Here is a 12,869-nt window from a genome sequence, read left to right as displayed (position 1 = left end):
TAGCAGCTATTATCTGCTTACTTATTTTAAAATAAGTTATGTCTTACTACTACCTTTTGGGTCATTTTCTTGTTCAAACACTGTAATTTCTGTACTGAAACAGAAAGATGTTGAAAGTTGAAGGAACAGTAGATACTTGTTAACAGTAAAAAGCAGCTGGACACTTAGTAGGCAATTGCTAATGGTAGCTACAACATCTTGAAGGGATTGAGTGTTGAATGTCCCTGTTACATGAAGCCAGATGGCTCCGGGACCACAGAATCTTTATGGTAAGATACAACAATGATTCTGTGGTCAGGTACAACAATGATCTGCAGAGGGTTGTTCGCTTAACGCAAAAGTTGAGTAACTGCCCGTTTTCAGTGTAGATTATGTTACATGTAAATGTGGTAGGGAAATCTCCATTGAGAAATGGAGAGTCTTGTAGTATTACAAGTCATCCACCCACCCACCCTCTGCCATTTTGGGGTTTGGCAAATTCAGACTTTCTTAAAGCAAAATAGCTTGGATATTATCCTCTGTCTTGTTAGGGTTCATCAAGGAAGGAAGAGAGAATATTGATGCTGCATTATGTACTTTTCTTAATGCCAGGATTCAGGCTGCAGTATTGTCCACTTCTGACTTCTGTTGCTTTATGGGTTGTATTAAGGTCTCACCCAACCCAAAGCATAGTACGTTATTGCTCTTGTATTTGCGGTTCACGCTGTGCCCTTGGAAATCCTTTGGATTTCTGGCTTAACTTGTGCTCCAGTTACAGGGCAGGAGAGCCCTCTTGTGGCCAGCTGGACGGTGGCTCCTTCCAACCTCTACAGCACCAAATGCGCAGATAACAATTTTTCAGGTTGTGATAGGGCAATTTTTCTCTTGGAAATAGCTCTAAGGAGAAAACCCCTTTGTCCAAATCATCACAGTGCTGTTCATTCTACACTCATCACAACTCTTTACAAGTCAGTTGAAATATAATATTTTTCAATATAAGTCCTGACCTAGTCACCAGGATCTGACAACAGCTAAATCTATCTGAGTAGATTATAAGAGTGTCTTGTTATTGTGACTGAGGTTTAAGATGGTGAGCTAGAGGCCGCAGAAAAAAAGAATTCCTTTTTGCCTTCTGTTTAACGGGAGAAGTTATGTCTTATTTTATCTTATCCAAATATTTATCCATAGAAGATGACAGATATATTGGAAAACATGTAATTTATTCTGCTTACTAGTCTTTCATGGTTTTTTGAGGTATGACCTTGATGAGAACATAGAATCTGTAATGTTATTATATTTCCAAATGCAATTTAGAATCACTCCATGAAACTTTGTGGCCTGGCTTCCTTTACTAAAGGTTTCTTACTGCTCTCTATTATTATAATTATTTAACAGAGTCTAGTTTTGAAAATAAAGAATAAAAGCCTTCCTCTTCAATCTCCCTTGGAATGCCACGAATTGCTATGTAATATCCTTGCTATCTGCATTTACCGGTCTCTGAAAAGGACCCCATACCCTAAATCCAATCTTAAAAATGGCAATAATGATATCTACTCTACAGGGCTGTTGTGAAAATTACAGCTAATGTAAGTGTAAGTGCTAATTTAGGTTTCTCAATGCTTCTCAATTAATATTTCACTCAGCATTTCTCAATAGGGACACTATTAGCTTTTCCAGCAGGGCAGTTTTCATTGTACAGATCTGTCTGGAGCATTGCAGGACATTAGCATCCCAGTAGTACTCCTATTCAGTCACTTTGACAACCAGAGACACCGCCACACATCCTCCATGAGAGAAGTGCTGCCCTCACTTGAGAATCACTGACATGTAATAGACAGCTGATTCGTGATAGGTGCTGCTCCTTGTACCATTAGAACTGCAATAGGAACACTTTGCAGGTTTGCTCTGCAGCAGAAATACCCATAGGAGAGCTCAGGCCCTTGTGGTCACAGTGACCACAAGCAGAGCCTTCCCAGCTCAGGATCAGTCCTAGGACCCTTGCCTACCTGGAACAGGGCTGTCGTGGCAAACCTGCCTGACTGGTCACCACTTTGGGGCCTTAGCTTAATCAAGGAGCAATATCCCAGCACACAGTACCTGAGGAACAAAACCCAAGAGTATTTTTTCAGGCAAGATCCTTTAGATTCCTGGTCCCCATGTGAGCTTATTTGTTCTGACCTGTGTCTGGTCTAAACTTGTGGTTAAAAGTCTATTCAGTCATTTGACAAACACTTATCTGTACCTGCTGTGTGCCAGACCCTGTGCTGAGCACTTTACATGTATGATTTCATTTCATCCTCTCCACAGTCCTGTGAAATGGATATTATCCATAATTTAGAGAGGAGGAAAATAAAGCTCAAAAGGTTAGTTAGTTGTCTCTCAGAGTCATGTGGCCAGTAGGTGGATGGGCCACATTCAGCCTCAGGGATGTCTGACTCCCAAGTCCATGCTCTTGCCCATCTTATTCCTCGCGCTGCCTCCCCAGTGAGTGGGACAGCTCCTGAGCATGGAGCTAAACACTGGTGAGGGAGACAGAATAGCAAGTGGCCTGGTGAGTGCCAAGACATGGAGGGTGTACAGGATACAATGAGAGCACAGACGGAAACTGGGAACCTGCCCAGCCCGTGGTGGGGGTAAGGGGGATCACAGAAGGCTTCCTGAAAGAGGTGATGCCTGAGCAGAGTCTTAGAGGAGGATTAGGAATGAATCATACTTCGAAGTGAGAGAAGAGTGTTCCAGGCAGATGGTCCAGCACATTCCAAGAGGGAGGGTGGCAACTTCTGGATATTGGGATTAATTTAAGGACAAGGACAAGAATGGCAAATGATGCAGTTGGAGACCTCTAAAGATGCCTAACTGGTTTCTCTTCTAGAATAGATCCTGTGGCCTCGTGAGTAACCCAGATTGTTTTCTTTTAGCCAGGGACAAGTGGTGGCCTTCAGACCCTCAGATCATATCGGAAGGGCTCTACGCGATAGCCGTCGTGCTGAGCTTCTCTCGCATTGCATACATTCTGCCAGCCAACGAGAGTTTTGGGCCCCTGCAGATCTCGCTAGGGAGAACTGTGAAAGATATCTTCAAGTTCATGGTCATTTTCATCATGGTATTTGTGGCCTTCATGATTGGGATGTTCAACCTGTACTCTTACTACCGAGGTGCCAAATACAACCCAGCGTTTACAACGTGAGTATCTGAGAGCTTTCCCCTGAGGTTCTCCCTGGGCTTCCTGGGAATCCTTGGGAGTCTCCTGAAGGTGGCTTCTTGCAGAGACTGCTGTTTCCTTGCTATCTCTCAAGGTTAAAGGCAACTTTATTCAAGGGTGGTTTAGAGTTCAGGTTCTGGAGTTGAACAGATGAGTTGAGTTAAATCCTCACTTTGCCACTTACATTTCGTGTGACCAGAGCATGTTCCCATTTAGAAAAAAAAAAATCACATGTAGGAATGCTACGTTTTCTAGGATTTGACATTCTCAGCAATCAGGAATTATTTCATAAATGGAAATTTCATAAATGGAAAGACCACTACTAAAAACAGAATGCCATTAATATAATGTTGTCTTTTGTTTCCAAAGTTGATAGACTAGAGTGATGTGAAAATAATAATAAAAGCGAGATATTTTGTGGTGGTAAACTTTGGGGGTAAAGTTAGGACTGCAATCCATGAGTTATCTCAGGGTAAACAATGCAGCAGCAAGCATGCTGGCGAGTATTCTTGGGGCCAAGGGGAAATGGGTTAACATCTCTGATACTTCATTTTCTTGTTTTTAAAATGGTGATAATAATAGTACCTTCTTCATAGAGATTGTGCAAGGATTCAGTGAGATGATGTAACTCACGTAGTAAACTCAATATGTGGTAAAAAAAATTATTCTTACTGTTATTATTGTCTTAGCCTGTGTTGCCTAGAAAACAGAACTCTGGGTAAAAGTTGCATGCTAACACTTTATTAGAGTGAGGGAGTTGCAATCTAAGGGAAATAAAACTGAAGGAAAAAGGAAAGTGAAGAATGGGAAGAGGGGAAGCAAGTACAAAGTGCTGCTGCATGAGAGGTGTGTGAAGTGAAGATGGGGAAAGCAAATCCAGGCAGCTCCCTGGCCACTGCCCACCAGAATACACAGCATGGGCATGATGGACCTCTCCAGGGGGACTATCTGGAAAGACCACATCTCAGAATAGCCCATCAGGCTGAGAATAGAGAATTTATCATCCAGATCAGTCCCATCTGCTGTCTCTCATTAGTCACTCCATAGGACGTTAACTCACCTACACTTCCAGGGAAGCCCTGGGGAAGCCATATCCACACAGCATGGGAGGCAGGTCTGCGAGTGGTTGCAGGTCACTGCTCTCCATGCCTGGCTGGGCAAGCCAGGTCTTGTGTGTGGACACCCAGCAAGTCCTGCAGCATCATGTGCCTCTGCAGCAGGAAGGAAAGCCCATGTGAGAGAGGCAGGAGGCATGCAGCCTGAGCATGAGGCAAGACACTGAAATTGGGGTCCAGAAGTAGCTGCTAGGGGTGCTCCAGAAAGCAGGCAGAGTAACACAATGGCATGCACATCCCCCACCGTGGAAGTGGTGATGGAGCTCTCTAAGCCTGTGTCCACAAAGATCCAAAGCTCCTCCCCTGGGGATGGGCACGGGGCAGGATGCCAGATAGTCTCCTGGAGGGCCAGCCATCGGTAGCACCGAGAAGGGTCTAGTGGAAGAGTGTGGAAGACCTGAATATACTTCCTGACACAGGCATATACTGGCCGGTGAACTTAAGTCATTTGATTTATCTGAGCCTCTGTGTCCTCGTCTATAAAATGAAAATAAGGTTTCCCACCTTATTCACAAATACCTTTATGGATAAATGAGGATGTTTACATAAAGTGCCTGAAACACAGAAGTGTTTCCAGTCCATGTCCTGCCCCAGACCCACTCAGTTCCAGAACTTCTCCTTGCCTTCACCAAGCTCTTGGCCAAAGTCTTGAAAGGAGGATAGTCAGGTTTTCAGCCTTGTGGAATCCCAGCACAGCAGCCAGGATCAATGGGGCTAAGCACTTCCTGACACTTGTCCCCAGGAAGCCCTGAGTGGCCTAGAATGTCAGTTTTCCAGCTAGTAGAAATGGCTCTGATCCCTGCCCCTCAGACTCCCTGAGCAATTTCCAGGTTGCAGCAGGGCCTCATCTTACTCTTCTGGAGAAATCACCCATTAAGGTAAGATACTTGTCTCTGAGAACCAAGTACAATGAATTCTGTGCCACTTAGCTCAGAATTATGGACTGCGCTGCCCCACCCAGCTGAAACTACCTAAAAGAGTGGGACTCTGGTGCTGCTGAACCACAGAAGCTGTTACTCCCTGAAGCAAAGTAGTTTGTGTGTCAAGAGAATAGGTGCCAGGCCCAGTGCTGAGAAATGCACCTGAGAGGTGCTTGGCTCTGCTCCTCGGCCCACAGGCTATGTTGGAGCCTTGGTACCCCATGGACCGACAGACTAGGTTTCAGTCTGAGCTCGGCCTCTTACTGACTTTGTGGCCTTGGGCAAGTGCTTAAATCCCTTGGGCCTCAATTTCCCCAGCTCCAAAATGAGAATACTAAGAGAGCCAACTTCACAGGATTGTTGTAAGGATCCAATAAGAAGAAATACGACCAAATGCAATGCTTGGCATAAAGTGAGCCTTCAATAAATAGTAATGATGATAATGGAGATGGTGAATAATTTATCCTCAGGGGAGAATAAATTGCAAGAAAAGACACCTGAGTACTGAATTGGTCTATAGCGCCCTTTCTGGGCAGTGGTCTAGCTTACACACTGTCCACCAGCACAGGCCAAGCACATTGTTGAATCAGCTGGACTACTTTATATCACTCCAATACTTAGTGATTAACTGCTGAAGGAATAGAATAAGTTTCAATCACCCAAAAGCAAATTTGCTCTAGATCTGCTAAAGGTAAAACTAAATGTATCCACTCCACATGGGATGCATTGCTACTGAACATGGAGAGGATGTCAGCCGATAAACGAAGGCTCTTACTTTCTGTGATCAGACCCTGGTGTCCCTCCTGTGTTTCTAGCCTAGCATGGTGCCTTGCAAAGGTTGTTTGCTCATTAAATGCTTTATGAACAAGAATGAGGGAATAAACAGGAGAAAGGAAGCCAGAGTCAAAGTAGTCAAATAAACAGTAGACTGGGCATTTGACAGTGTGCACTTCTATCCTGTTCCTACTGCCCAGAGTATTCTCTGCAATCCCTCTCTTCCCTCCTCTACGGAGAGCCTGTATCACCAGCCCACAGTCCCTCACTCCCTCAGAAGATCAGTGCCATGACACACAGAAAAATGACAAAGGGGCCAGGCCTGGTAGCTCATGTCTATAATCCCAACACTGGGAGGCTGAGGTGGAAGGATCCCCAAGAGTTTGAGACCAGCCTGGGCAATACAGTGAAACCTCATTAAAGAAAAAAGAAGAAGAAGGAGGAGGAGGGAGAGGAAGGAAGGAAGAAAGAGAGGGAAGGAGGGAGGGAAGGGAGGGGAGGGGAGGGCGAAAGAGAGAGAGAGAGAGATTATGACTTTAGAGTAGGGCTGACCTAGCCACAATTCTCAACTAGATGCAGCACAGCTAACCAATACAGGGAGGAAGGCAGGTGGCCTGGGTTGGGGTCTTTGGGATTAGGAAGAGTGATGGGGAAAGGCAAACTGAATGAAGATTTCCTAGACACAAGAGACCCAACCAAGAGGACCCCAGACCTTCTAGGAGAGGGAAGAGGATAAAGGGTGGGGAGGCGGCAAGCACAGTGAAGAAAGGATGGGAGATTTATCGCCGTGGCAGTTCCTGAAATGAGATGTGTAGCTGTGAATAGGATTTGATTGAACAGAAAAACAGTCAATAGAGCAGTGAAGTGGAGAGAGAAAAGAATGGATTTTTGTAAATGTCATCTTTTACCTTTTGACTGCTCTCCGGTGCATGTCACCCCCAAGAGATCTTCTTTGTTAATTAAAAAAAAAAAAAGCCATGTGAGAATAAATGAGACTCGTGCCTTAGGATACTCAAAGCTGTTCTGAGTGCCAGCCATGCTGATGATGAAGTCAAACAACTTCACTCAGGTGAATGTTTGCTCCAGAGCAGCCCATCCCCAGGCTGCCCTGCCCAGCTCATAATCTTCCCTTTGACCCACCCACAGGTGAGTGGCCTGTTCTCTGTGGAATTTTGAGCTTGTAGGGTAAGGCAGGAGTCTATAGAACTCAGCATCTGTTTCTATAGACTCGGCAGACCCAATTCTACAGAAGGGAAATTTGGGTTGGAGCACACTGCAGGTATCCCCCCAGCCCCACTTTTGACCTCCCCCCAACCCCATTCCTGCCACATCCAAGGGCAATTGGAGTCTCTAAAGACTGTTCAGGAGTCCACTTCGAAAGTCAGCTGTTAGAAACCTACAGGGAGCTTTTTCATATGAGCTCTGCTCACCCTAGGGGTGCAGTCCCAGGCCAGCTCACAAAAACCAGTCTCACCATGTTGTAGCACTGTCCCAAGGGGAAGAGGAAGGGCAAGCATTCTAAGACAGAGGGAAAGAAGAGAAGAAAGACTTCTCTACTAACTGCAGCCCCAACCCTCAACCAAGGCCTGCCCTATCGCCCAGTGTCTTCCAGTTCTAAAATCACATACCGCCTCCCTCCGGCCACTCCCAGATTCTCATTTTCTCCATCTGGCAGACCTCAATGAAGAGGCTAGAAGAAAATGGATGGATTAAATTGGTTTAGCCCAAGGTGTGAATAAATATACAGTATGAGCAGCCTTAACAGAGCAGTGGTTTTCAAACCACATCAGAGTCACCTGGGGAGGTGGCTAAACGTGGGACTTCCCAGGCTCTTCCTCTTAGAGAGTCTGATTATAGTAGTTCTGGGTAGGACCCAGAAATCAACATTAACAAGCCCCTGGAGGATTCTGGTACAGATGGTCTAGGATCACAGTATGAGAAATGCTAATCTGATCCAACCTCATCATTGCACCAATAGGGAGATGGAAGTCACTCTCAGCTCTTTGTACTTCAAAAACAAGGAGCTTGTTAACTTAAGTGAATATCTTATTAGTAGGATTTCAGGCTCTATGCAGGCAATTTTTTTTAAGCACAAGCTACTGAAGAGGTAGCCAGATCCAGTGGGAGCAAGCCCCAAAGTCAGATCCTATTAATAGTTCCCAATTTTTCAGCCTCCTTCCTCTTCAGAACCAAGAATTTTCTCAAAGGTCTGGGTTGTTTTTCATAGCCACTTCTGTGTCCAGTGCTGGCCTAAGGGGAGGAGCATGGGTCACTAGTTGGTGAGCTGGGGCCTGTCTGGGCATGACAGATAGTACACCTGCTGGCAACTCATTATCTCCAAGCCACTTCTATTAGAAACTGAAAATGACCACAGGTGAGGAAAGGAAAAATGTTCAGACAAGGTTTATGCTCTCAGAGTACAAAATCGAAGTATCCCAAGACATGGGTAAGGAAGTGGAGAGAAAAATCACCTGAGAACACACTTCCTTTAATAAAGTCTTTAAGAAAAGTTCTCAGTTCAGACTGTTAGGAATTTTGTGACTGGGGACATATTTTTAACCCTATCATAGAACTCAGTAGACAAATAGGATTTGCTTTTGGAGGTTCGTTTTATAGCCAACTTTGCTGAAATGCACATATTCCATAAAGTGAAGACTTTCTGTTTATGTTGTGTGGAACTCTTGGGGTCCCAGCACTCTTGTTACAGGGTTAGAAAAAGAGAAATAAAAGGTCCATGCTCATAGATGAAATACAGCTGAGTGACAATGCATAGAAAAAGGGTGCCTAGGCTGGGCGCGGTGGCTCACACCTATAATCCCAGCAGTTTGGGAGGCCAAGGCAGGTGGATCACTTGAGGTTAGGAGTTTAAGACCAGCCTGGCCAACATGGCAAAACCACATCTTTACTAAAAGTACAAAAATTAGCTGGGCGTGGTGGCTCGCACCTGTTTTCCCAGATACTTGGAAGATTGAGGCAGGAGAATCACTTGAACCTGGGAGGCGGAGGTTGCAGTAAGCCGAGATTGTGTCACTGCACTGCAGCCTGGGTGACAGAGTGAGACTACATCAAAAAAAAAAAAAGGAAGGAAGGAAAAGAGTGCCTTTCTCACACCCTAGCTGGTGACTGTGATGGGACAGCTACACAGAGAATAGGAGGGGCCGGAGGCAATGAGGTGGTCCAGAGTAGGAAGTGAAGGGTGTTCTAACACAACCCATGGTGGGCCCCTGTCTCCCCTTTGGGTGAACTTGGCCTTTCAGACTCAATCCTGATTGGAGACTAAATGTGTGTTCTGTTTCTCAAAAGATCATCTCAGCCCATCTTTTCTATAGGCTGTTGTGAAGTCAGCTTCATAGCATAGCTGGGTTGAGAGTTTTCTAATCAAAATAATACCTCTATTAAGGTTGTTCTGTCTCCCCAGGAATCATTTTAATGGAAGTAGCTTCAGCAATGCTAGGCAAAATTAGAAACTTGTATTTTCCGTGACACTTATGGGAAATTTCCATACTTTATGAGGGAGGGATTCAGGAGGCACTGATTCAGCCCCACCCAACTTGTCCTTGCCATAGAGAAGCCAGATTCCCCTTCCAGCTATGGGAACTGCAGCTGAGGGAGAGGATCCTTAAGACTCTGCCCACACACCCCCACCTGCCACGGACTGTCCCAGCTTCAAGGCTGAGCTTCACGTACTCGGCTTAGAGCTGAAATTGAGGCTTCAGATGATCCTTTTGGAGTTGGTAAAGAGCAGCAATAATAATAATAATAATAAATATCAAATTGTTGACCAACTCATGAAAAATATGCACCTGCTTTCTCATTTAATCCACAGTGGAATAATACAAATACTATTACAGGAAACTGAGGCTCAGAGAGGTACCAGACTTGCCCAAGATCATAGAGCCAATGAGAGAATCTGAATCCAAATCCGCATGAGTCCAAGCCCATCCTCCACCTTAGGCCTAAAATTTCCATCACTCACACTAGGGCCTACACTTTGAGATGGATGCTAAGACTCTAAAAGTTGAGTTGCTCTCCTATAGTAGTAAATTCTGAAAAAGAGCATACTAACTCCGATTTTGATTACCATTGAGAACCTGCTGATTCTACATATCTCAGCTTTAATATGCAGACTGTGATTCTCCCCTGGATAGAGCAGGTTTCTATTCCAAAGTGAGCTCCCTCATTTGACAAACATGTATGGAGCAACTACTCTATGCCAAGTGGTGTTTGTCCCTGAGGCCATAGAGATTAATAAGACAATTCTGTTCCTAGGAAACTCATGGATCAGTGGGGATTTTGCAGGGGGCAAAAGCAACAGCTACGATCCCATATGATCATCATCAAAGGGTACTTGAGTAGCACAGGGAGGAGGAAGCACTGAGCCCTACCTGGCAGTCAGAGAAGGCTTCCTAGAAGGGGTGGCTCTAAACAGAGAGTTTGGGAGGATGACTGGAAGGGCACTCTGGCATGTGCAAGGCATTTTTGGAGAGCTTCACGTAGGAAGGCATTTGGGTAGATGGCAGAAGATTAAATCAGAGCATCAGGTGGGAGCTAGATTGTGAAGCACTTCATAAGTCCTGATAGAGTGTTAGAGTCTCCGCTAAGGCCTTTGTAAAAGGAGGAAGATGTAATTGGGTCTGCTTTCAGGAAGAGTGCTGTGGCAACTGCATGAAGGGTGGGTTGGAAGGGGTGAGAGTGGAGGCCCAAGCTGGGTGCTGGGATTCTACTGTGAGCAAAAGCAGATGTGGTCCCTCCCCTCATGAAACTTGCAGACTGTTTGAGAAGATAGATGTTAATCAAATAATCACAGGAATGAGGGCATGTTTACAAATTGAGAAAATGTTCTGAAAGACAGGAATGTGAAAGAAAGGCAGCTACAAAAGGAGCTGAGCTAGATAGATCGCCTGGGAGGCTCTGGCAGGAGCCCTGTGAGAGAGGGTGCATTGCTGCATGCAGGGAATAGTGGGATGGAGAAGCAGGGCAAGGGGTAGAGTGGCAGGCTATGGCTGCAAAGGGGATCCTGCTGAGGCTGCCCAGGCTGAAATACGTCATAAAACTCATCAGAATCAATGATATATTGAGAGAAACCGAGGGAGAGGTCACCCTGAGGCACCCTAGGAGCTTGGCCTACTGCCGGTTTACCTGTGCAGTGTGCTGAACGTGTTTGCAGGTGGGGAACAAGGAATGGCATCAGCCTACTGGGCTTTGTGAAGGACCCGTTTTTCCCAGGATCCTGGGTCGGTGTTGAAATATGGGCATCTCTGATTCAGAAGCTCCACAGGCTGTTTCACCATCAGACTTTATTACACTGTGAAAGTTACAATCTCCACCTTTCATGTTATAAATTCAAGTCAGGACCGGCTGGGCACAGTGGCCCACGCCTGTAACCTCAACACTTTGGGAGGCCAAGGTGGGTGGATTGCTTGAGCCCAGGAATTCGAGACCAGCCTGGACAACAGATTGAGACCCCATCTCAAAAATTAATTAATTAATTAATGCAAGTTAGGCATAGGGTGTTTGGGAGGGATGAGAGAGCTTACTGCACCCACTTTCAGGTGGAGAAACCAGCACAGAAAAGTTCTAAGGCTTGATGGAGAAGGCAGCTGAGATCAGTGTGGGGCTCAAGTCAGGCTCAGAGAGGCTGGGGACCTGGAAATGACCTTTATGTGTCAAAAAAGATCATTTGGGTCTAATATAAGGTCTTTTTCTTTGTATAACTCTCCAACAAGTGATAAAAATATAGATCTTTTCCTGGGCTACTTTAGAAGAATAATTGTTACAACAGACACTCTACTATCGTAAAATGTTTATGGATACATTCTTCTCATGTTTATTTGTGACCTGGATTCTAAAAGCCTGGGACCTGTGAGCCCCTGGAACAGTCTGAGAACCACCAAGTTTTGAGGAAAAAGACCTGACAACACACAGAAAATGTGCTCCTGAGGATGCTGGCTTCACGGCACCCTCTCAAGCACTGCCCAGGGCCCTCCATCTGCTTCTCAGGCTGACGGTCACTGTCTGACAGGGGAGAGGGTCTCACCTTTTTATGCACTAAAATTCAGTTCTAGGATGATAATATGGTTTAAGCTGCCATTTCTCTAAGTGACAGTGGCAGGAAACTGCAATGTCCAGGGTTAGCTTGAGATGTTACCAGCAGGGGCAGGTCTGAGGCAAGCTGGGTAAGGCCAAGTGCCAGATCACCTTCTGCCTCAGTTTCCCAGCGTTCCATCATCCATTGACAAAAATGTTCACTGACCCCTCCCCCCAGCTACAAGCTGGACACTATTCTGAGTACTGAGGACAGAGTGACGAAGGAGGTCAGCAGGCCCTGTCAGCATGGAGCTCACATTTCAGAGGGAAAAGAGGCAAAAAGATAAACAAATAGGCAAGTAAGATAGTTATAGATTAAGAGCTCGGAGCTAGGGAAGTAAGACACTGTACAGAAGAGTCATGAGAGAGGGCCTCCTTCAGACAGGTCGTCAAAGAAGGTCTCGTGGAGCACATGCTGACTGAGCCTGAAGCCTCAATAAGAAAAAGAGGAGGAGCAGCCAGGTACAGAGAGAGAGGAAGGCATTCCAAGAGAGAGCTCAGCCAGTGCACCCAGGCAGAGTGCAATGAGTGAAGGGAGAGCCAGCCTCGGGCTCCAGGAGGCGGGAGGAACCAGACTACCCAGGGCCTTGAGGGCCTGCGCTGGGTGATGATGGGCTTTGTCAGCCACAGGGAAAGCCACTAACAGAGAGGGGCAGGATCTGATTTCTGTTTTCCAAGGGCTTTTCTGAAAATTAATTGCAGGGCTCCATAGTCTTTCAGCCAGATATTGGAGCCTATTGCAGTTGATGCAGATTTTGTAAAAAATGAACACTAGTAATAAAATTAGTAACA

At 45.6% G+C, this 12,869-nt stretch overlaps 1 protein-coding gene and 1 long non-coding RNA gene across 5 annotated transcripts in view; one reads left to right on the top strand and one right to left on the bottom strand.

The window, feature by feature from the left end:
* Window positions 1–12,869, top strand: part of TRPC7 (transient receptor potential cation channel subfamily C member 7) — a 152,801-nt gene that overhangs the window by 114,913 nt on the left and 25,019 nt on the right. For all 4 annotated transcript variants that reach the window (NM_001167576.2, NM_001167577.2, NM_001376901.1 and 1 more), the window contains one exon: window positions 2,898–3,162. In NM_001167576.2, coding sequence (NP_001161048.1) covers window positions 2,898–3,162 — 265 coding nt within the window. The remainder of the gene's footprint in view (window positions 1–2,897; window positions 3,163–12,869) is intronic.
* The window catches only part of TRPC7-AS2 (TRPC7 antisense RNA 2), an 89,446-nt gene that overhangs the window by 65,468 nt on the left and 11,109 nt on the right, over window positions 1–12,869 (bottom strand). The gene's annotated exons all lie outside the window — the stretch shown is intronic.

Source organism: Homo sapiens, chromosome 5, assembly GCF_000001405.40.
Source record: "Homo sapiens chromosome 5, GRCh38.p14 Primary Assembly".
Classification (NCBI taxonomy): domain Eukaryota; kingdom Metazoa; phylum Chordata; class Mammalia; order Primates; family Hominidae; genus Homo; species Homo sapiens.
The sequence above is the reverse complement of the archived record's forward strand: the minus strand, read 5'-3'. Positions and strand labels throughout refer to the sequence as shown.